At 39.7% G+C, this 25,741-nt stretch overlaps 1 protein-coding gene across 28 annotated transcripts in view, besides 1 other annotated feature; it reads left to right on the forward strand.

The window, feature by feature from the left end:
* The window catches only part of RBFOX1 (RNA binding fox-1 homolog 1), a 2,473,620-nt gene that overhangs the window by 1,230,108 nt on the left and 1,217,771 nt on the right, over window positions 1-25,741 (forward strand). For 10 of the 28 annotated variants that reach the window (NM_001415889.1, NM_001415898.1, NM_001415894.1 and 7 more), the window contains exon 1: window positions 13,558-13,716. The exons of 16 other annotated variants lie outside the window; for them this stretch is intronic. In NM_001415889.1, the coding sequence (NP_001402818.1) occupies window positions 13,672-13,716 (45 nt within the window). In that variant the 5' untranslated portion in view covers window positions 13,558-13,671. Of the gene's footprint in view, window positions 1-13,557; window positions 13,717-13,925; window positions 14,087-25,741 lie in introns of those variants that run through there. 2 more of the 28 variants (NM_001415916.1, XM_005255391.5) reach the window with 1 other exon arrangement.
* Window positions 12,806-13,731: an enhancer, noted in NCBI's record as "H3K4me1 hESC enhancer chr16:6532635-6533560 (GRCh37/hg19 assembly coordinates)". NCBI's record gives its function as "activates a minimal SCP1, AML or CMV promoter by ChIP-STARR-seq in naive H9 embryonic stem cells {active_cell/tissue: H9 hESC(naive)}" and the evidence as "EXISTENCE:reporter gene assay evidence [ECO:0000049][PMID:30033119]".

The following is a 25,741-nucleotide window of genomic DNA, read 5'->3' on the forward strand; positions in this document are numbered from 1 at the left end:
GTTAGGAATCCTACAGTTCCCTTCAAGACCTATAGGGCAGTAGATTTGAACCTTACAATCCTATATTGTATTTCATGTTGACCAATCTGTAAGCAGGTAAAGAACTGCCATCTTACTGGTGATAAAGAGTTTATGATGTTAACTGAGCTCTCATTCTAGACAACAAAGTAATCCAGTGTCCTATTCAAACTTAATTCATAGTTATCAAACAGTCATTAAGTATCTACTTTGTGCCTGATAGACATTTCTTTAACCAGAATGCTTTGCCACTGTATCCTCATTCATTTAAAATAGAGTATATAGAAACCAGATTTAGATACTGCCTCTAGTTGAAATTCCTGCATCCAGGTAGGGCTGGCTGTTTGTCTTAGAGAATATGTCCCTTTATGTCCTGTCTGGATAGGTGGAAGGTGAGTAGGTTTAACAAGTAACATTTGATCCAGGCATTTTTACAGTAACAGTTTGTTATTGCTGGAATTTGACCATCTCAATTCATTTTCGTAGGTATAAACTAGTCATGGATATTAAATGTGTGACTATATTGATATATGAAAGCTTACTGATGGCACAGTTTTATCATCAGTGCCTTTATTCAAATGAGTTTTAAAAGTTGATTAGCAACTGCATTCTCCTATGTTGGCTTGGACATGAATAGTGCAAATATGTCAGTCTTTCTATTCTTCCAAGATGACCTTCAGCTCTCTATGTGCATGAATTCCAGTTGGCCTTTAGCCACTCCTCCAAGTAGAACACATATCTATCCAGTTGCCTCTTGTGTAACTCTTTCTGGAGCTTCCATAGCCCCTACCCAACTTGATGTGGTCAAAATGAGCCTCTTATCTTTCCCAGGTATTTGTCTGATGCCCCTGAACCTGGTCATCGATACCACCATTTAGTCAATAACTTGTAACAGTGATCTAGGAGTTGGCCTTGACTTTTTGGCTTCTTTTACACTTGTTTTTATCCTTTTTTTAACACCTCCAGTTATACATGTCTTCTAGTGTTTCTTTCAGTGAGTCTTGTCAATTCTATTTATCAAATATTTACCAAATCCTCTTTTCCATTATACCGTTACTGCTGTGTCTTTGTGCAAACCCTCATCATCTTTTAGGCTAAGATACAATAAAATAATCTTCCAGAGGCTCTTCCTGCTTCCAGTGTTCCTTTCTGCACACACGAGGGTAGCCTTCCTAGCAATGACTGTTCCATTTTCTTATAGAGGAATTAAATCTAAATTTCTTGGCATGACACATGGGCCCCTTTATCATCTTACCTGTGCCCCCTTTCCCTGCCTGGTCTTCAGACATCAACCCTTTCCATCAGTTCACCCAGTCACATCTCTGCACCTTTGCATAAGCTGTTTCCTATGGTTTGAATGCCTTTCTCCCCTGACTATCGAACAACCTGCTATGCATCCTTGGAGATCCAACTCAAGCATCATCACCTTTTGAATTCTCTGAAAGATGCCCTTTGCCTTTAGTTAGAACAAGAGGCATCCTCTACCAAGTAGATGCATAGCACAATTTATTCCATTCTGTCATCTAGTACGATAATTATACTACTAGTTTCTATTATAATACTTGTTTGTTATTTTCCTTCTCCAGTAAACGTATTCTACTTTGCATTCTCCAGGCCTAAAAGAGTTCTGGAATGCAATGGGCATTCATGTAAGTAATGTTAAAAGAATGACTCCATCAATTATATTTCTGTGACATTCTCAGGTAGGAAGATATCTTTATGCTTATAATTGGAAAAAAAAAAAAAAAACCTCTAGTGGCAGAGAATTTGTATTTCTGTTAGCTCTCAGTATTGGGATTGTATTTCTGACAGGCTGGCCCACCAGCTATGCTTCATGAAAGACCATGAGCCACAGGGAAGAGGTTTATTCATCTCAGCATTGGGGTATTTTGCTTTTCTTCAAGGCAAAGGGATCTGGAGACTCCTTTGCAGGCTGGCCATGTCTTGTGCAATCCCAGCTGTGTCTGGAGATTCTAGCAGGGATGCAGAGTGTGGTTGGGACTTCACAGGAAGTCGACTTGCATCAGAAGCACATAGGGAAAGGGAAGGGAAATAGAATGAAGGAAGAAAGCTTTCAGCAGCCAAGGCAACAACTTCCCCCGTCTCTGTCTGGCTCTGGGGCCAAACAGACTCCTGATTTCTCTTTATCTCCTTGTCTCTCCACCTCTATTCCTCTGAGTTCTTTTCCCATCACCCCCCATTCTTTCTCTATATACTGTTTCGCTGACTAGTCATCAGACTCTACCGACAAATTTACCTGATCTTCCCAGCCTAGCCCTTGAGCTTAACCATTCCATCCACTTCTCAATTCCACATTTCTTGGAGAGAATCTGATTTGACCAGGTAGGGGCATGTGTCTGACCCAGGTCCCTGGACAAGGGACCGATGAAGGCCAGGCTGTGAGAGAAGCAGTGTCTCTAAGAAACCCTGCAGCGTTAGGGAGAAATGATTGGTATCTCTATGGTACACGTGGTGGAGATGCTGGCTGCACATCCCAAGAGCCATCCCTAGAAGATGGCTTCCTTCCCATCCTGTAAACCCTGAGTCAGGGATGCCCCCAAGCATGTGAGATGTTGACCCTATTTCTGCACTTGGCCCAAGTCAAATCCAGTCATTGCTATTGGGGGTCTTGTTGCATCCTGTTGTTTCCTTTGGGAGGTGACATACTGCTGACATCTGTGGAGTGAAGGGATTTGGGGAAAGTGTGAGTCATCATCTCTCTGATGACATTTTATTCTCTTATTCTCCAAACTCTGCCCAGCTTCTTTCTTTTTTCTTTCTTTCTTTTTTTTTTTTCAATGGAATCTCACTTTGTTGCCCAGGCTGGAGTGCAGTGGCGCAATCTTGGCTCACTGCAACCTCCGCCTCCCGGTTCAAGTGATTCTCCTGTCTCAGCCTCCTGAGTAGTTGGGATTACAGGCGTGCGCCACCATGCCCAGCTGTTTTTTTTGTGTTTTTAGTAGAGATGGGGTTTTACCGTGTTGTCCAGGCTGGTCTCGAACTCCCAACCTTATTTGATCCACCCACCTCGGCCTCCCAAAGTGCTGGGATTATAGGCGTAAACCACTGTGCCCGGCCCAGTTTCTTATTTAGGACCCTCAAGGAAGAATTGTTGTAAGGAAGATAGCATGATCATATAGGGATATCTCCAGGTGAAACTCTTCCACCTTTACAAGATGTATGCTGGTATAACAGAGAGGAACACCCATGATTACCTATGTACCTCTCCCTATGTACCCCTAGTCTTCTGCCCGGGGACCCCAGGATGCCCTGCAACACATGGAAATAAAATTTACCTCCTGACTCTTGGCTCTCACAGCTCTTATCCTGAATCTTTGTTTTCTAGCCCTGCCTACTTATCTATTTTGTTTTCTGGTGATTAGTGAACATGGATCACCCTCCGAGGCTTTTTGTTGGCAGGGTACATGTCTGTCTCATTTTTGTAGTTCTGTAGTACAAATCAGACAGCAAGTGCTCAATTAATCCTTGAACGAAACAAAAGAAAGGAGTCAGTTCATGCAATAATGGATGCTGACAACCCTAGCATCTTATCGAAGGTATGTATCTCCACTGACTCACCCCCATTTCATCACAAGGCTATTTCCCACCCAACAGTTGCAAAAATCTGTCATCTCCTTGTTTCTTATCTGTCTCCCTCACTAGAACATAAGCTACATGAGGGCTCTTGTTTTGTTAATCCTGTTGACAAAAAACATAGCTTCTGTTATTTTTATTTGGTTGGTCTTTATTGAAGAAATAAAGACCAACCAAATAAAAATAAACAGAGGCTATTTATTCAGAGCTTGCTATAGCAAGGAGTCAGACATCCTCACTTGCATTTTGCCAGAAACTCAAAGGCAGGCAGAGGAGTAGGAAAATTTTATAGTAGATAAATAAAGGGACAGCTTCAGATATGGCCTGGCTAGAGGCTGTTTGCGTGGGGAAGCTGCAGATGGGCTAAGTAGAAAGGGGTGTTCCTTGTGATCGGTTAAGGTGCACACTTGGCTTTCTCTGATTGGTCCGAAGTTGGAGGTGTGGACAAAAATTAGGAAAGCTGTCAGTTACGAATCTAGTCCTGATTGTTTCTGAGCCAGTGGATTTTTGTTTGGCTTCCTGGACCAGTTACTAGAGATAGTAATCTGACTTCCTTGAATCGTGACTTGTGGATAGCAGGCTGGCTTCCTGTAGACAATAAGCTGGTTTCCTGGGCTGGTTACTGCAAACTGTGGGTCAGATTTCTCTTTTTCTATATGGTCTTGCCAGTGTCCATTTGTGTATGCAGTCTATCCTTGATGGGAGGGAAAATTAAAAAGGAAGGAAAGAAGGGAGGGAAAAGGATGGGGACATCATAGTACTATTATCCAGTTTTTATTATCCAGATTCTATTTCGAACACTTTAATCCCATTTCGATGTGAGGGAATAGTAATTCATCCCAGAGCGGACGTGACATCTGTTTTCAGGACCCTTTAATCATATCCCGTGGTCCAAAGCTATAACACAGTGAAGAGGAAAAAGACTCTTTTCCTGTCAGTCGCCCAAACGGGAGCCAAAGGCTTTTGAGGAGGCACTTAAAGAATTTTCACTTTGCAATTGTGCAGAAGCTGTTGTTCAGGTAATTTAACATTGATTTTAGTTTAAAAGGCAATTAAGACAAAATGGGCAGCCACCAGCCACTTATGTTAAATAAGCTTAGATTTAAATTGCTCCTCATCACCACCTTTGTTTTCTATGTCTGGGCTGTTCTATGCTACTTTAGCATGGGATGGTGTGGTGCCCCAAGTGGGGCAGGTGGATAGGCGAGGGAACCCAGCCAGGGAAACGGTTATTGAAAGAGAAAGAAGTTGGCCAAAAATTGTTCTCAGTGGTGAGATGAGTTCCCTTTCATACTGCTGCTGGGAATATGGATTCATGTAAGCTTCTAGAATTCTGGTTCCTTAGATCTAAAAACTTAAATACGGTGCCCACTTTTTTGACTCATCGGTTTCACTTTTAGGTATCTACCCTGAGATAAGGCACAGAGAAAAATATCATAACATCAGGAAGTGATGTTCACTGCAGTGTTATTTAACATAAAGAGAAAGTGTGTAGCATTAGAGTGGAATACATAAACTGACCTTGTACATTTTTTGTCCTTACAGCACAAAGTGTTCATGATACATTGCAAAGTGCAAAAGATGAAGGCAGCTTATACAGTAACATCCCAATTGTGTGCTTATAATGTTTTAGTTCTATATGCAGTAGAAAATGTCTGAAGTGGATAGACTTCCAACAAAATAGTACTTGGAGCTCTCTTTGGGTGGTGAAATAATGTTAGCTTTTCTGGTGCTTTTTGAAATTTCCTAAACTTTCCACAATAAACACTCATAGGTTTTATAATTATAAAACACATTGAAAACAATGTTGGTTGTAATACTATTAGAAGAATATTCCTGTCAGCAGTGTGCTTGATTCCTGCCATCTCAAGGATGAGGCTATATGTGCATGCTAAGTTATAAGGAGATGGAATGGATATTCGGTTGCAATAATTCTGTTTCTTGCTTAAAGGAAGTCTGCTACGCTTCAGGAATGAGGGTCATTCACCTGGTCTTTGTTTAAATTTGTAAGGTGAACCATTTTGTAGACAATGCTTGGAAAATATGCCCAGGTGATTCATGCATTTGTCTATTAGAAAACGTGGTCACTTACCAGCAACCAATATAGAGCTAATGGGATTCATTTAGAAATGTAACCACAAGTCCACTATAAATCGTATGTTCTCCCATCTCAATATGCTTCATTAAGCTCACCTTTCTTAATGTAACTGGATTATTAGGTGTCAGGACAAAGAAAATCAGTAGGTCCTAGTGTTCTAATCCTGCAAACTTTCAATGTGGTTGCTATGTAATTTTATTTTTTTAGGTGGAGCTTGCTTTGTGCTTTTCTACAGGAAAATATTTTCAAACTGGTAAAGAAGTAATATTACTGTATTGTGAGGAATATTTCAATAGGTCATTACCATAACTTCTAGCAGAAAGGATAATCTACGTCGCATTTTACTTCAAGGATAAGATTGATTTTTATAAAAATCTTTAGTGCATTGAGGCTTAACGTCTTTTTTTCCCCCTATGAAGAAGCAATTAGATGCTGGAGTTTTCCAGAAATGTTAGGTGGGCATAAACCAAACCTTGATGCTTTTCTTTTTGAAGGTTTTATCATCCAGCGTTTGAAGAGAACAGGCAGTTCCCAGGTGAAAAAAAATGTTATTGGTACAATGTCAGTCATCGACACTCACATGGCCAGGGACGCCACCCTTTTCTTATATTTACATCTGTTTGAAAAATAGAGAAATACAGGAAATGACAAAGAAGAAAATAATAAGCACCTATAATCTCACTAGCAAATACTACCCATTTTGTATGATTTCTTCCAGGGGTGTGTGTCTACAAATATCCGTAGAGACATACACATACACTTTAAAAAAATAGTAAATACACATCTTGTACACTTAAAGCAAGACCTATAGATGTACAGGCACACCTTGGAGATACTGTAGGTTCAGTTACAAGCCACTGCAATACAGTAAATATCATAATAGAGGGAGTCACACTATTTTTTGTTTCCCAGCGCATATAAAAGCTGTGCTTTTGTACCATACTGTAGTCTATTAAGTGTGCAATAGCATTGTATCTAAAAAACGACGTGCATACCTTAATTTAAAAAGACTTTATTGCTAAAATAAAAATGCCAACAATCATCTGAGCCTTTAATGAGTTCTAATCTTTTTGCTGGTGGAGGGTCTTGCCTCGGTGTTGATGGCTTTGTACTGGTCAGGGTGGTAGTTGTGGTAGTTGCTGAAGGTTGGGGTGACTGTGGCAATCTCTTAAAATGAGGAAACAGTGAAGTTTATCACATGGATTGATTCTTCCTTTCATGAAATACTTCTCTGCAGCACCTGATGCTGTTTGACAGCATTTTACCTAACGTAGAACTTCTTTCAGAATTGGAGTGAATCCTTTCAAACTTTGCTACTGCTTAATCAACTAAGTGTATGTAATATTCTACATTCTTTGTTGTCATTGCAACAAGGATCATAGTATCTTTACTAGATGTAGATTCCATCTCAAGGAACCACTTTTTCTGCTGATCCATAAGAAGAAACTCCTCATCTGTTAAAGTTTTATCACGAGATTGCAGCAATGTAGTTGCCTCTTCAGGCTCCACTTGTAATTCTAGTTCTTTAGCTATTTCCTCCACATTTCCAGGTTCTTCCTCCACTGAAGTCTTGAACCCTTCAAAATCATTCTTGAGAGTTGGAATCAACTTATTCCAAACTCCTGTTAATGTTGCTATTTTGACCTCCTTCCATGAATCTTGAATGTTCTTAATGGCATCTCAAAAGCGAATATTTTTTAGAATATTTCAGTGTACTTTGCCCAGAACCATCAGAAGAATCCGTGTTTATGGCAGCTATAACCTTATGAGATATATTTCCTAAATAATAAGACTGGAAATCAAAATTATTCCTTGATCCATTGGCTGCAGGAACCTATATTGCATTAACAGGCACGAACAGAACACTTATGTCCTTGTGCTTCTCCATCAGAGCTTTCCGGTGACCAGATGTGTTGTCAATGAGCAGTAATATTTTTAAAGGAATCCTTTTTTCTGAATAGTAGGTGTTAATAGTGGGCTTAAAATATTCAGCAAACCATGCTATAAACAGATGTCCTGTTTCATTTCTAGAGCATAGGCAGAGTAGATTTAGAGTTATTCTTAAGGGCCCTAGGAGATTCAAAATGGTAAATGAGCCTTGCTTTCAATTTAAAGTTACCAGCTGTATTAGCCCCTAATAAGAGCGTCAGCTTGTCCTTTGAAGCTTTAAAGCCAGGTGTTGACTTCTTTCTATGAAAGTTATAGATACCATCTTCTTCCAAGAGAAGACTGTTTTGTCTACACTGAAAATCTGTCATTTAGTGTAGCCACCTTCGTCAGTGATCTTAGCTAGATTTTCAGGGTAAGTTGCTGCAGCTTCTCCATCAGCACTTGCCATTTCACCTTCCACTTGCATGTTACAGATACTCCTCCTTGCCTTCAACCTCATGAACCAACCTCTGCTAGCTTCACACTTTTTTTTTGTCAGTTTTCCCACCTCTCTCTGCCTCCATAGAATTCAAGAGGATTAAAGTCTTGATCTGGATTAGGCTTTGGCTTAAGAGAATGTTGTGGCTGGTTTGATCTTCCATCTAAACCACTAATACTCCACACCAGCAACAAGGCTCTTTTACTTATTAGTAGTGTGTTCAAGGGAGTAGCACTTTTACTTTCCTTTAATAACTTTTTCATCACATTCACAACTTGGCTAGTTGGTGCAGGAGCCTAGCTTTTAGCCTGTCCCAGCTTTTTTTTTTTTTTTTGAGACGGAGTCTCTAGCTGTCACCTGGGCTGGAGTGCAGTGGCGTGATCTCAGCTTACTGCAACCTCCGCCTCCCAGGTTCAAGCGATTCTCCTGCCTCAGCCTCCCAAGTAGCTGGGATTACAGGTACCTGCCACTACACCCAGCTAATATATATATATATATATATATATATATATATATATATATATTTTTTTTTTTTTTTTTTGTATTTTTAGTAGAGACAGGGTTTCACCATGTTGGCGAGGCTGTTCTGGAACTCCTGACCTTGTGATTCACTTGCCTTGGCCTCCCAAAATGCTGGGATTACAGGCGCTGTCCCAGCTTTAAAAGTGTCTTCGTCATGAAGCTTAATCATTTCTAGCTTTTGATTTAAAGTGAGAGGTGTGTGGCTCTTCCTTTCACCTGAACACTTAGAGGCTATTGTAAGGTTATTTATTGGTCTAATTTCAAGATTGTTGTGCCTTAAGGAATGGGAAGGCCAAGGAGAGGGAGCGAGCAGGGGGAATGGCCTGTCAGTGGAACAGTCAGAACACACACAATCTTTATCAATTAAGTGTGCCATCTTATATGGGCACAGTTTTTGGCACCCCAAAACAATTATAATAGTACCATCAAACATTGCTCATCACAGATCACAGTAACAGATCTAGCAATAATGAAAAGGTTTGATATATTGTGAGATTTACCCAAATGTGATACAAAAACATAAAGTGAGCACTTGCTACTGAAAAAAAGTGGCACCAATAGACTTGCTCAGCACAAGGTTGCCACAAAACTTCAATTTGTACAAAATGCAATATCTGCAAAGCATGATAAAGTGAAAGACAATAAAATGAGGTATGCCTGTGTGTGTGTGTGTTTGTGTGTAAGCGTGTATACAACTTTAAAAGTTTCATACTGTATTAGTCCGTTCTAACACTGCTATAAAGACATACCTGAGACTGCGTAGTTTATAAAGAAAAGAAGTTTAATTGACTCACAGTTCTGGAGGCCTCAGGAAACTTTCAATTATGGCGGAAGAGGAAGTAGACACATCTTACATGGCGGCAGGTGAGAGAGAGCCAGAAAGATCAGGGAACTGCCTTATAAAACCATCAGATCTCAGGACGCTGAGGCAGGCAGATCTCTTGAGGACAGGAGTTAAAGGCCAGCCTGGCCAACATGGTGAAACCCTGTCTCTACTAAAAATACAAAATTTAGCCCGGCATGGTGGCACACACCTGTAGTCCCAGCTACTCGGGAGGCTGAGGCAGGAAAATCACTTGAATCTGGGAAGCAGAAGTTGCAGTGAGCTGAGATCATGCCACTGTACTCTACCCTGGGTGATAGAACGAGATGCTGTCTCAAAAAAGAAAAAGAAAAGAAAACCATGAAACCATCAGATCTCATGGGAACTCACCCACTATCATGAGAACAGCATGGAGGAAACTGCCCCCATGATCCAATCACCTCCCACCTGGTTTCTCCCCTTGACACATGGGAATTATGGCCTCTTACAGAAAAAAGTTCACCAATCACCAGTCTAGGCCAGGCACGGTGGCTCATGCCTGTAATCCCAGCACTTTGGGAGGCCGAGGCAGGCAGATCATTTGAGGTCAGGAGCTTGAGACCAGCCTGACCAACATGGTGAAACCCCATCTCTACTAAAAATACAAAAAATTAGTTGGGCATGGTGGCGGGTACCTATGATCTCAGCTACTCGGGAGGCTGAGGCACAAGAATTGCTTAAACCCAGGGGCAGAGGTTGCAGTGAGCTGAGATCGTGCCACTGCCCTCCAGGCTGGGAGACAGAGCAAGACTCCACCTCGAAAAAAAAAAAAAAAAAATCACTGGTCTAGAAAAATGGGACTGAAATTCACAATAGTGTCATCTCTAGGAAAAGAGGAAGGAGACTAGTTTTTACCTGAGTTTGAGAGCTCCTTTTGTTCTTTTAAGAGAACACTTATGTACTGGCTTTATGCTTTTAAAAGTGATACACATGTACACACATATAACATATAGAGTATATATACATACACACTTTTCACTTAAAACAAGTTATATGTATACATGTTATATGCATGTAAAGGGCCAGAGAGTAAACATTTTAGACTTCCTGGGCCACTTGGTCTCTCACAGACACTAAACTCCGCATTTGCAGATGAAGGCAGTCGTAGCAACCCATAAACAAATGGGCATAGCTATGTTTCAATAAAACCTCATTCATGGATGCTGAAATTTGAATTTCCTACATTTTTTACACATCACGAAATATTATTCTTCTTTTGACTTTTAAAAACTATTTAAAGTATCAAAACCATTTTTAACTAGCAGGCTGTACAGAAACAGAGAATGGCTGAGTTTGATTCTTGGGCTGTAGTTGGCTATCTTCTGTTTTGGACTGTTCCCAGTACATTCACAAATATTTATATATCTACGGAAAACCTATAATATTATATTAGTGCATTCTCTTTCAGAAATGGTGTCATAAGTGTAGAAGTCATTTAAAACTTGTATTTTTATCTCAGCAATTTATTTTTGCTGAGAAATATTTGTATATATATTTGTACCTTATAGTGTGTATTTTTATTTCTGTTCCTACATATTCATGTCTATATAGCAATGGAGGTATTCATATGTGGCTTTATTTGATTCTTTTCACTGCTATATGGTATTCCATCATATGATATGCCATATTTTTAATGCTAGATGGGTATTTAGTCTGTTGCCTCCCCCCACAACCCCATCCTGTATCACAAGCAATAGCAATTATATCCAAACATATCCACAAATGTATCTTGTGCATGTTTTTTAGGACAGACATTAGAAGTAGAGCTGTTTGATAATAGGGTATGCACATTTTCCATTTTAATAGGTACTAGTAAATCAGCTTCCCGAGAGACAATATCAGTTTACAGTGCTCATGGGAGACTCTACTGCCATTCTTGGTTTGGGAGGTTGCATCCCTTCCTGTTTTACTTATGGGGTGGGAGCAAGAAAACAACCTTCTCTCTGTATCATCTTGCCTTGTAGTTACAGCTGTAAATGTGGGCCTTCATGTCCCTTTGGGTGGCTGCAGACATGGTTTTAACTGTTTGCTGTGCCCCTTGCACATGAGAATAGCAATTTATATCAATAACCAGGTCTGGCAACATCTGCCAAGGTTGTCACGCTCTGTGATTAAATGGCCACATGTGCTGAGAACACGAGGACAATGGGGTTGTAATTAGGGCTTGCTGTCTCTCCATCGGCCACCCGCACCATGCGTCCCTTCCTATAACCTTGCTTTTGTGAACTGATTTGTGAATCAAATTATTCCACTGGGCATGCCAGTGTGTGCTGGGTTAATAATAATACTCTATATTTGTGAATCTCTGTAATTGTACAGGGTTCTGGATAAGCGAAAGTCTAAACCCCTTTTTGCCATTTTACCTGGTGCTGTTGGAAAATGTGTCAGGGGATCATACAAGATAACATTAGAAGTTAACTTTAAAAATAGTAGGGAGTGGAGCATGTTCTTCATGGCATCATTATTGTGAAATAAGGTTTTACTTTATGGTTATCTCAGCATCCGTTAAATGCCACTGACCCTGTAAGAAAGGCAGGCAGAGAGAACACAAATAGAATTTTGTTAACTCTGCAAGGAGAAAGTTAAACACTGTGTTAATATCATATTAAAAACACTCTTAATGCACAGAAGAAAAAAAAATCCCTCCTCGTTTTGTTCCTGGTATGACAAAGATGGATGATGGTTACATAAGGAATTGGCATGTTAAAAAAAGACACACTTGAAATATTGCCTCTAGATATGAAGTTGTAACGAATGTGAAAATATTTGAAAGATTTATTAGCATTTTAATATTTGCTTACCAATGCATAAAATCCTAATCAGTTGTATACAAGTTGTATACTTTAACTCAAATAAAGTATCCAAGAAGGACACAGGCAGGAAGCCAATGAATATTTCACTCATTGTTGATCAAATATAGGAGGGATATATGTATATTAAATTTTATTTCCCATTTAGATCCTTCCTGTTTAAATAAGTGCTTGAGGTAGCAAAGCCATCTTAGTGCACACAGCTTGCAGTTCTAACTGTGAAGAGAAAGGAAAAAGAACAAATTAGTTTTTCTACATCCAAGAGTCATTTCCCCAGCCAATTAATTTTTTGGTCCCTACCAAAATCAGCACTTAAGCTGAAGATAGCTAGAACCTGTGTAACTCATTCCTATTAACAACAGCAACAAAAAAAGTGAAATAGATCTATGAGGACTTCTTGGGAAAATAACAGGAAAATTACTTTGATGATATTATTATTCAAGGTACACATATTTAAAAGGTGATCTCTAAATTTCAACAGAGACGACAGTTGTTTTTCTCCTAAAAGCAGGCTGAAACCTCAGCGCATTCTCATTTAGTACGTAACGTGGAAAAAGAGTTGAGATCCTAAAGCTTCGCTCCTAAATAAAGTGCAGCTGCTTCTCGGAGATGAAATAGGATGAAAGCCTAGCTGTTTGGGGCGGGAGGCGAGATTGGGGGCGCGGTGCTGGGGTCTTCGATGTTTTACCAGTATTTCTAGGTGAAGCAGCATATTGGAAGTCATAAATACTGTCCCGTGGACATTCTGAATAATGCAGGAGTAGCGTAAGTAATTGGGAGTGCTTATATCCGCCTTTAGACATTTGATTGCTCGTGAGTTAAAATTGGTTGTCAAGTGCGGACTCAGGGAACCGTGCAAGGTGCCCTATTCTGTCATGTGGTACATATTTAATGCCTGAAAGAACAAGGGAAGGGACACGTGCGGGCGAGAGAGGGCGAGCGGCGAGATACCGCAGCCAGCTCGGAGCTTTGCAAGTGCCTCCGACCCGTAGGGGCGGGACCCACGCAGCCCCAGTATCCACTGCCTTCCCCCAGCTGCAAGAGTTTGCAAAAACATTGGGCGTCTCATTTGGCGAGCGTTTTGGCGCGGACAGAGGCCGAGGCCGGCCGGGGAAGCCGGACCCGGGCCCTGGCGCCGCCGTGGCCTCCCTTTGTGCGCGCCCGGGTGTTGATTGCCTCCTTGCACGGGCTGCTCGCTCTCGCGCCCGCGCGCTCGGGGCGTTCTGCACCTGCTGGCGGTCGTGCCAGGCAGCCCGGGCGAGCGAAGGCGCGCGGCGCGCACGACAGATGACTGGAGTCATTTACATTGCTAGCACGTGGGTGCCGTTTGCTGTTGCCTCGGACTTCTCCCGTGCTGTGTTTTCCCGGTGAGGAAACAGGAGGCACTTTGCAGCCGACAATGAAATCTTGGCAGCTAATTGCAGTCGTGGGAGATGCCCTTCAGGTACGGCGAGCGAAGAAGACTCTAAAACACTGTCAGGGAAGGAGAGAAAGAGGGAGAGAGGGAGGGAGGGAAGGGAGAGACCAGGCAGCTTCTGCAGAGGCTTCCTGAAGCCCACTGACTCCGCGGGAGGGGGTTGCAGAGGGACGGGGGCGGGCGACAGGGGGAGGAGTGTGCAAATTGACATTTTTGGCTGCCTGTGGCAGAGGAGCAGCCGTCAGCCGCTGTCCAACGTTAGCGCAGACACGGTGGCGGCGTGTGCGCCTCCGGGGCTGCTGATTAGAATAGGGGACTTGGCCGTGGATGGAATCCGGGAAACCCAAACCGGAGATGGAAGGATGAGGCTGCGTTTGCAGCGCGTGAATGGGACGCGGTATGTAAGCCGAGCTCCAGCTCCGGGGACCTCGGAGACTGTGCTCAGGGCTCGCCCTGGGTGCCCCGTGGTGGGGGTGGTCTGGACACTTGGAGAGGGCTAGGGGGCGTTTAGAGGGATTGGGGAGCCCGGAGATGCATCGATTTTCTTTACCCACTGGAAGTTAGTGGGCAACTTCCTTGCCAATGCTCATTGGCTCCGTTTAACTTTATTCCCAGAGATGAATAAGCGTTTATTAAGAACCGATGTAAAAGTCCCAATAGGCTAGCCATGGTTTTGCAAGAGATGCGCGGCTCTGGAAATGAGAGGTTTATGAAATGAATGGCCAGATGGGTTGTGCATTTGCGAAGTTGGCATGCTCACGTTGCAAGGGAGCATGTGTGTGCAAATGTGAGCATATGCGCTGCATATCTGTGTAAACATGTCCACCATGCTCGTTGCGCTGGTGTACTCTTCATCTTCTCTGCCTGTTTCCCATGGAAGAGAGATTAAATTGACAATACTGAACACGCTTCGACTTGAGAAATAAGCTCTGTACCATTTTATGACATGGAATAAGAGTTGCCTTCTTCTGAGATCAAATGGGAGAAATGTGCCTTGCCTTCTCAAGTGATGGAATGAACTGTTATGCATTTATAGAATATATTATATACAGAGTGTCGAATGTGACATCCATCAGTCTACAATGATCACCTAGCCTCTCAAGCACAGCTCATCCCTCTAGCCCTTATTTTCAGATTATGGGGAAATTGGGGGTTTTATTATTTCTTTTGACAAAAGAGCTGCGTTTTCCACCTTCCTACTTAAGAGGGCTCCAAGCAGAATTGTGAATCCAAAAGTTTTGTTGGCAGTGTCACCTTAGTAAAACGTTATGAAATTATTTGCTAAAAGAGTCACTTTCTGAGTGTCTTCACGTAGAAGAATTTACTCATTGTTGACATGGTTTCAATTTTGGTTACACAGAAATGAATGCGGTTTATTGCTGAAGCAGGCAAAAATGATTGTGTAATCCTCTCTTTAGTAGGGTAGCTGGGTAGTAAATTGTTTGGCTTAAAATGGGGACATCTTTCTCCACTGTGTTCCCTATTTTTTGATTTAAATGTGTGCTGGAAAATCCAAAGAGTGTGAGTAAAAGGGTGTTTGTGGCATGGAGTAACTTGCCTTTGTGGTTTGCTATGACTAAGTTTGAAGAGGGTTGTTTGTTAAGTAAGTGAATGCAAGTCAATCAGCAACAGCTGCTTGCCACTCAGGCTCACAGGAATCCAGGCTTTTCATTTAAAAAGCAAGATTTTCCAAGTCTTATCTGCCCACACGCTTCCCACACGTGTGATGCCTCCCCTCTATTAGAATACTCAGAGGTTATGAAGAGGGAATTGTTAATCTGAGGAATGAGGTAGGGGGACATGTAGAAGGAGCTCCTCCCTCCCTCTCTTACCCCTCTTCTCTTCTCTCTCTTGGTCTCCCTCTGGGTATTTCTTCCTCCTTATCCCATTTTTTTTCATCTACGTGTATTTCTTTCCATCTTTCTGTCTTTACTGTTTTACCTGGTGCACAGAAACCTTTTAGGTATCTTTGCTACACTTTAACATATGTTTTGCACGCTGGAGGATCACCAGAGCCTGTTTTTCTTTCTTTCTTTCAGGAATTCTCCGCTCACCTGCAAGAATTATTTAGTATCAGGCAATTCCACTGTACAGCAGTCTTATAAAAAGTGAATATTCAAACTTTTTTATCATTTCTTTTTAACCAAGCAACTAGACTCTTTGAAAACACTTTTACTATGTAAAAAGAGCAGAATCTTTTCTGTTACCCCAAATTGAGGGTTTATACGAAAGTACTTTCTGTCTCATGACTTTATTGGACTAAGCTTATTTTTACATTTGTCTCTTAAAATCTTATCCTTCAAACTTCTGTTTTTCCTATCACTTGTCTTAATTTTAGAGTCTGGATTCATTTTAATCTGTATTTACTCAGACTTGGTAGAAATAACTATCAGTGCTGACTTATGGGCCAGGTAATTGAAGTACAACAAAAATAGTTTTTCTTTTTTGTATGATATTGTGTTCCTTTTTGCTCTTAAAAAGGACCAGCTAATTATTTTTCTTTTTTTTTTTCCTCTCTCTACTAGGAGTATGATACAAAAGTTGAAGGAGATCTCAGTAAAAGGCTTTTTTTTTTTTTTTTTTTTTTTTTGGCATTGATTGCCTTCCTATAAACTATAGTTGCAATATTTGGAAAATATATTGTCATATTTTATGACACTAATTGGTGTATATGACTTTTGTTTTGAGAATCCAGGTACACACTCCTCATTGTTGTCTTTGATTTGATTATAGACAACCTGCTTGAATGGGCCAATCTTGAGCTAAACAAATATTACAACATCTAGTGAAGAACAAACTTGGTCTTGTTTTCTGTCTAAATTTATAATTTTTATATTAGATTTTGAGCACAGTTGTAATCTGGTGAAATGAAAAGTCATCTAAAAGAGGAAGAAGATATCTGAACTAATAATAAAATGATTATTATTAATTAAACTTAGTTGTGTTTAGCTTTTAGCTTTTATTTTAAAAACTTCACGTGTCTTAGTCTCAAAGTTATCAAAGGGAGTTGGCGTAAGTTCTTGGAAAGTAATTCTGTTGGGATTAAAAGTCCTCTCTATGAGACTTCACTCTCCATCTTGTGTTGATTTTCTGACGAACATAAAAAGAAATGAGGAAAAAGCTTGAACCCTTAATTTTATTATTTTTTTTTTTGGCATTTTAGACTTTACTTTGTTATGGATCCAAAAACTTTGGAGTGTGTTAAAATATCAAATCTTTGTTTGCATTTATGGGTATGCGTTTTTGCTCTTTTTGTTTTCTTTCATTTTCATGCAGGGTTGTGTGTTTGTGTGTATTATGAGCAGTAGTCAACAGGAGCAAATGAGAAGAATTTTACAATTATGAATTCTCATGCATAATTTGATTTTAATTAAATCATAGATAATCAGAATAGCAGTCTCAAGGATTTAGGATCCCTGCTGAACCCCCTCTTCTTGCACGGCACCAAGAGAAAGATAAAACGCCTTTAAAAGTCAGCATTTAATATACAGTGTTTGGTTTGGAAACCATCGCATATTAAATTATTCAGCAACTATAATGTCCCAAACAGTTTTCAGGGTGTGTTTTTATTAAGCTAAATAAAGTTTCTATGAAAAGTTGTGGGGTTTCAGTAAGTTGTGGGGTTTCTGTGTGTGTGTGTGTGTGTGTGTGTGTGTGTGTGTGTACCCAAAAGGCCGAAACAGCTTATGTCAGCTACAGCAACTCGTTTTTGATTCAGCAAAACTAGGTTATGAATTCAAGCAATTAAAAATGACAGAAAGCCCAATTTCACTGCCTAGATTAATATGCTTCCAATTTTTCCTGCTCCATAAAAATTTCAAAGTGTTCTTTCTGTTGAGGTGCTTGCATAACCTATAGGGTATTGGGAGGGTCTCCATTTCTTGTTTGCTTATGATGTCTGAATACTTTGATGTAGCAAATGTAAATAGGATCAGTTGGATATTTGTAACATAATTTTGTGCTTGCAAGTTCTCCTGAAATTATTTTGGTTGGGTTTAAAAGAAAAGAGCTGTGGTTAGTTTCTAAGCATTTACCGATAGTGAAGAATCTGTCGGCAAGCTCCAATGTCATGAAGGCCAGGAAAGACTTTTCAAGAAAAGATACAATTATAGTAGAACTAGTGTTTTCAGCTTCCAAAGATGGCAGTGATATATGTAAAAAAAAAAAAAAAAAAAAAAAAAAAATATATATATATATATATATATATATATATATATATATATATATATATATATATAAAATATTATGCAGTGATGGGCATGTTTATTACTTTTTCTCTATTCCTAAAGTAATGTCTGGAATTCTAGATTCATGTTTATCTAATGAGCCAAATCTCTCCCTGTTATTTAAAATGGTCCTTTTTCCTTACACACTAATTAGTAGTCAAAACCAGCCGCTTTAATGATCTGTAGTTTTTGGTTTGTTCGTTAAGTTTTCTAACCTGGTTTGAATTAACTTGTTCACACAAAGAGTGTACACAGACACAGATATACACTCAAAAAGCTCATCTCCCAGCACCATTTACTCCACGCTTTCAATCCAATACAGAAAGCAACAACCAAACAAATCAAGGTGCACTATTTGCCCAATGTTTGTTTTACAGAGAAGACCCCTAAAGGGCTGTATATGAGGAAGGCCTCTGCCAGCCCTTCCTTTGCTCTTCATGGTAATTCTGCATCTGCATTTGCCACAGTACTGTGGATGTATTTCTTTGTTGTTTAGTTGTAGTCTCTAGTTGTGAGGAAATCAGTTGTTGTCTGCAAAGAAGATGTAAGTACTAGTTGGATTTATTGTGGTTAGCTGAATGTGTAAGTACAGGTCTTCCATTTGTATTAAAATGATGAGGATGAGGATGTGATAACCTGTCAACAGAAACAGCAGTAACAATACAATGCCGATTTCTTCCCGGGCACTTACTGACTCCCTCTGTGCATCAGACATTGGACGAGGAGCTCCTGTGTATTTTCTCTGTTCTTACAACTCTGCAAGGTAGGTATTACCATGCCTAATTTAGAGATGGAGAAACAATTTTCAAGACTTTTTATAATTAGAAAAAGTGATTAGACTGCAAATTTTTCTGATTCCAATATGCTAAGATACCATTGAAGTTTATTAATCTGAGTTTAGAATTTAGCATTTAGAATCTGTTTACACATAATGGGTACTTAAGAGATACACTACGTTAGGGTTTCTCAAACAGGATCAATTTCCTCCCCTAACCCATAATAATATTTAACAACATTTTGAAGACAGTTTTTGTGTCTTTGCGAGAGGATGACTCCCTCCTGCAAAACAAAAACAAATTACCTGGCCCCAAACCAACAGTGCCACAGCTGAGTAATTATACCCTAGGTAATATCAGTGATAGTCTAATATAAACATGGTCTGATTTTTCAAGAGAGGGTAGAAGGTATGTGTACTTCAATTATTAAACATTTAAAATCTCTGGTTGGATACTGTGACTAGGATCATGATGCAAAATCAGACGGTCCTTATTCCCTTACAGTCTGACACTAAAATTGTTACAGCTGCTTCCTTGGAACATCTTTCTTTATAAATATGGCATGGGTCGTTGTGATTTAAAGTGCCCTATTTTTTTCCAATTTACTTACTCTTTAGTACGAGAAGTGCTGGAAAATGAAATTTCTTTCCTTGGTACTCTTGTCACTAGAAGAGAAATGTAACGTCACTAAATGAATAATGGAAGAGCAATTCTAACAACCTTCCCATATGGTCCTTCTTTTCCCTCAGTATTCAAATGGCATTATTTTCCTCTTATCTTTAAAGGTTTGGCACATAGGTTTATTGGTTTATTTGTTTATATAATATTTTATATTTGCCGAGCACTCTTGCAAATGCTTTAAAATATTAATTCATTGAATCTTTAAGATAAGCCTAGGAGATTGTTATTGTTTTTATCTACTTTTTACAAAGAGGGAACAGACATCCAGAGAAGTTGAGTAATCTGTATGAGATCACACAGCTTCTAAGTGGCAGAGCTGGGGTTTAAACTCCAAAGTCTGTGTTCCTAGCCATTTTCTCATGTACTTTAGTAATTTGAGCTTCTAAATGTACAGAAGCCTAAGCGTTGAGGCACCATCTTCACCCGAGTTTTGAAACAAAAGACGTTTTTAGTCTCATTTTGGAGTGCTTGATGAGGAAAACGGACTTACCTGTTTTTGAAAGAGCATGAGTGATAATGCTCACAGCTTTATATGTTGCTATTTAAATACTCCTGCAGATGCACTTCACCTGGGTCAGGAGGTCTTGTGAATTCTCTCTACCATGACCACCTCCAACAACAGCAAAAAAGCCACCAAAGGGAAACACTAATGTACAGGAGGGCACAATTTGCAGGATGAGTGATCTCCATTTTATCCCCTACTTAATTGTCATGTTGGAAAAATAGAGAGAAATTCTGCAACTGGATCTCCTAAGGTGTCTTCAAGAAACTTAAGTCTTTGCTTTCTGATGCTCTTAAAATGTTCTAGAGAGCCCCATGTGGTCCATGCCAGGTGGGTGATGGTGGATGTGAGTACGTTGACTCCCAGCTTGATCTCAGCTAATGCCAGGCTGTTTGTTGTTCCACATTTAGGCCACGGGAATGACCATGCCTATCTCAGTCTCAGTTGGGTTTTTAGTGAATAGCAAATGCTATGAAAAGAAAAACAATTTAAGTATATTTTTAAATAGAAATGCCAATTTGACACATTTTATTCTGCTTTAGAAGGGAAAAAAAGATCTTGCAAGTACGCAATTAAATACATACCAGAATATCCAGAAAACCAAGACAGAAGTAGAGAGCGTCAATGAACTTCAGTTGAATAAATGAGTACATGGATGGAACATTTTGTATTTTTCAAAATTTCTTGTCAAGAATATGTATGGGTTTGTACTTGAAAATGTCTCACATCTCGAATACAAGCCACCGTGGTGGGAAATACAGGTCTGACAGGCGTCCATTTCATACCAGCTGTCCTCAGCTTACCAATCTAAATTTGTACGTTACTTAAGTGTTAGGCATAGGTATCTGCTTACTATTTATTGCCCTGCAGAAAGCTCAGAGATGATTAAGCACAGCTTACAAGTATGGACTGCATTTTACCTGAGGCAGGACACAGATTTTTTTATACAAGAAAGAAAGGGTCACCCATGAACAGCTCGTATCTGGTCATGGAGCAATATTAAAGTCTCAAAAAGGGCTGTTGAGCTACCTCCTCCCAGCCTGGAGACAGTTTAGGAACTGGGCTGGAAGTGGAATCCATTACTGTTCTTTATATTTCAGGCCCAATAAACTCACGTTTGAACAAAGAGAGCGAAGAGTGAATCCCATTGCAGAACTGTCAAAAGACTGATGTTGGATCCATTACTGTCAAATGTCCTTTTTTAATACAGTTCATTAAATTGGCTTTTGTGGAATACCTATTTCATCTAAGTGTTGGTTCAGGAAATGGTTTAAAATGAAACCAGAATTTGTTGTTCAGTGGGAAAATAAATGAGATGAACCCACATAACCAAGACTACCCAGTAAAGTTCTGTAGATACTATCTATTAGTATGCAGTACTAAAATTTAAATTATACGTGTATATATAGTTATATCTATAGTTAAGCTATAGATATGTAACTTATGTATAGACTAGAAGCTACATAGTCTATAGTCTATTTATATGTACATATAAACTATATATAGATATATAGTTAAACTATATATATAGTTTAATTGATGAAAGAAAGAATGGGAAGTTGGATTTAAAATAGCCATTTTAATTCCATATCCAGAAGTATATGGAATACTTCCGCATCTTAAGGTGAGCCTCCTTTTAGAAATAAAGATAACTAGTGATAAACCTTGTATGCCATTAAAAAGAGTGTACCCAACACTCAGTGAATTTCTGCCCAGTCTTGATTGTGAAATTTTCTTAGGAATCTAAACATATAGAAGTTACATCAATGTTATAAGTGGTTCAGGATTCACATTCTGCTGCTGACAGAGAAAGAAACCTGATTTTGTTGTAATGTACTAGCTAATTGTTCAGTATATAGAATTGCACATCATTATCCTTCTTATTGATAGTGTCTATTGAGTGCCTGCAATAAGCTAGACACTGTACTAATTCCCAGATGTGCATTATTGGCCTGAATATTTCCAGCAGCCCTATGAGGCAGATGTGATTGTTATACCCAGGGTTCATGAGGGAAGGCTGAAACTTGGGATGGTTTTTCAAGGGTTACCAACAGCTAGTGACTAAAAGGGCTGCTAATCAAATTTGAAGCTTTGAGGCTTCGAAGTCCCTTTCCCCGTTTTTTTGGCCCAAAGCTATATCAATCATTGTTCTAACATTGGTGAAAAATGAATCTGATGTAGATGAAGAGATTTATGTAGCTATAGGAAGTTCCTATAACTCTCCTATTAGGATTAACCTTCTTATCATCTTGGCAAATTATGCAAGTGGCTGGATATTTTGGGTAGATGGGTGGATGGGTAGATGAATGGATAGATGAGTAGACATATAGACTGAGTAGTAATGGAGAAGACAAATTGGCAAAGGACATGAATATAGGTTTTGGAAAAATAAACATAAATAGCAAGTATATGAAAGTGTGTGTGTGTGTGCGGGCGTGTGAAAGTTTCCCTTGTATATGTGAAAGTTTTATATATTGTATTGGAAAATAATTTGTTGATGAAACAGGCATTTTATATACTGTTAGAATGTGGAATAGTACCTTCTTCTGTAGAGGACTATTTGGGAATTCTTATTTTGAAAAAGTAGGCTGGGCACGATGGCCCACGCCTGTAATCCAACACTTTGGGAGGCCAAGGAAGGAGGATCATGAGGTCAGGAGTTCAAGACCAGCCTGGCCAACATAGTGGAACCTCGTCTCTACTAAAAATACAAAAATTTGCCAGGCTTGGTGGCAGGTGCCTGTTAGTCCCAGCTATTCAGGAGGCTGAGGCAGGAGAATCGCTTGAACCCGGGAGGTGGAGGTTGCAGTGAGCCGAGATGGTGCCACTGCACTACAGCCTGGGTGACAGAGTGAGACTCCATCTCAAAAATAAATAAATAAAAATTAAATAAATAAATAAGTATGTACTTTTGACCCAGCCTTTCTGCCTCTGGAATCTGTGTGATCGCTGAAGTTTGTGAAGATGCAGCTTGGTTCACTGCCGCATTGTGAACAGTCAGAAGGAAACTGGAGCGGAGGAAATACCTAAGTAGGGTGATTGGAGGTCAAGGACCCTTGTAGGAATGAAGTGGATTTGCCTGGATGTAAAACTACATCTAAGATGTTATGAGTGAGGAAGAGCCCAAAACTCAGAAATCTGTTTGAAAAACTTTGTTAGAAAGCAAACATACACATGCAATTGTTTTACATAGAGGGCAATACTGCAAAAGATAATGAAGGGACTATAAACAGTGATTATCTTTGTTGTAGCTGTGCAGTATGACTAAGAGAGGGGCAGGGAAGAGATGAAGCTTTTGCTTTTAAGATTACACCTTTATTCTTTGTGATTTTCAGCAAAGATGCCCTATTTGGATAATTAAAAAATATTTAAGAGAAAAGCCTCCATTTTGCAAACAACCTGTGATCACTTTACCCCTGAGCTGATACAGGTCAGCTTAGATACCAACATAGGTATTCTGTGTTGGACATAGGCAACCTAAATTGCTTGGAAAATATATTTGAGCCTTAGAAAAGATAAAACTGAAAATCATTGGATTCACAGTTATGTTTTGGTTGAGGTTTGGGGTCAGTATGCTCTTTGGAATGGGGTGGTGGGGTGTTGGAATTTCCTAAAAATATTAAATATGTGTTAACAGTAATGGTTTGACCACAGAAGAAAATCAAATTTCCCTGTTGCTGTACACACTTGTCATTCATCGCCGGTACTGCAAAATCATGATCCTTATCCTCCCAGCTGTGTGTGTTTGTCAGGGACCGTAGGCTGCTAAAAGTTGTATACAGTACTATTATTTTTTTTATTCATCTGTGGGTCATTTCATCTTCCTGTGCAAGCCACATGAATAGCTGTGTATGAAAATTGTATTTTGTGCCGAATTTCCCACTGTGAAAGATGTTTACTATATATTTATGAAAACACTGCAGTAACAAAACCCTTTATATAGCCTTTCAATTTGCTGTAAGGGCAGATAAAATATTTTTATCTCAAACTGAACTTCATACCTTGGGAGATTCAGCTGGCCTGACTCAGAATAATAAAACACTTCAGAGAAAGGCAGGTGCTGTTCAGATTGCTTCAGAAACCTGTGCACTTCACTCGGCAGATTTCACTTCCTTTAAACACGCCAACTGAATATACGAAAGCTAGAAATAATCAGTATAAACTATGCAACGTTAAGTACAAGAAATCATCTTTTTTTATTAAATAGTTTCTTAATACATCTACAGTAGCATCAGCGTGATTTTTAATGAGTGATATTTTCCTGTATACCAGAAGATACAGAGAGAAGGTTGGCGATCATTCCAGTGTATTGAAAACTTTCATTCCTCATCTGCATTTAGGCTTTGGCAATGTTCTTAATTGAAATTTTTACAGAGATAAATGTAGCATATGCAGTTGTAAGAAAATATAGATAGATCTCTTGTACACTATTCTCTAATGGTAATATTTTACCAAACTGTAGTATCACATCGTATCGAGGATACTGGCATGGCTGCAATCCACTGACCTTATTTGAATTTCCCTAAGGTTACTTGCACGTATTTGTGTGTATATATATTGTTCTGTACAACTTCATCGTGTGTAGGTTTCTGTATCCACCGCCACAGGTAAGGTACTGAGCAGTTCCATCCTGAGGTTCCATTTGTATAACCACAGCTATCTCTCGCGACCACCTGCCCCTGTTCTTAACCCCTGTCGATCATGAATCTGCCTTCCATTTGTAAAACTTTGTTATTTCAAAAATGGTATATAAGTGAGATCACAGAGTGCTTAGAGTTTTGGGATGGGCTTATTGACTCATCATTCCCTGGAGTTGTACCTACATTGTTACATCAGTAATTTTGCATGGTATATATATGTACCACAGCTTAACCATTCACCTGTTGAAGGATATCTGGGTTGGCTTTGACCATCACACATAAAGCTGTCTTGAACATTTGTGGACAGGTTTTTGCGTGACCGTGAGTTTCACTTCTCTGGCATAAATGCCCAGGAATGGGCCTTGGAGATCTTTGATTTATGCATATTATGGAACACATCAATATGTTGCACCCATTGGAAGTCAATGCCAGTTGCGTACAAACTGATACAAGGAAAAAAGAAAATTGTACCCACGTCTTAATGTTTATTTTTACATAAACACGGCACTAAATGCAGAGAATAGCCAGCATTTATGTAGCATCCACCATATGCCAGGCTGTATTCTAAGCCTGTTATGTATGCTAACTCATTTGTCCTCAGAGCAGCCTTATGAAGTATGTACTACTGTTCTTACTTATGGAGGAAACACCAAGCACAAAATGGTTAAGTAACTTGCCCAAGATTATACAGTCATCACCACTTAGAGGTAGTCGGTCTGGCTGGAGAACCCCGCATTTTAACCACTAATCAATGTCCCCGCTTTCTTTTGTTTGTTTATTTATTTATTTATTTTGAGATGAACTTTCACTCTTTCACCCATGCGGGAGTGAAGTGGTGGAATCTCGGCTCATTGCAACTTCTGCCTCCCGGATTCAAGCGATTCTTTTGCCGCAGCCTCCTGAATTGCTGGGATTATAGGTGCCCGCCACCATGCCTGGCTAATTTTTGTATTCTTAGTAGAGATGGGGTTTCACCATGTTTTCCAGGCTGGTCTCGAACTCCTGACCTCAGGTGATCCACCGCCCCCCGCCCCCGCCTTGGCCTCCCTAAGTGCTAATATTACAGGCTTGAGCTTCCGCGCCTGGCAGACAGCCATCTATAAGATGATGTCCCCACTTTCGTAGATCGGTTGGTCATAACTTGTGGGTTGGCTGAGACAGTAATATTCATTTAGAGTAAACATCTATTGATATCACCCTGAAAAGAAATAATAAATGAAACTGGGT

Source organism: Homo sapiens, chromosome 16 (genome assembly GCF_000001405.40).
Source record: "Homo sapiens chromosome 16, GRCh38.p14 Primary Assembly".
NCBI lineage: Eukaryota > Metazoa > Chordata > Mammalia > Primates > Hominidae > Homo > Homo sapiens.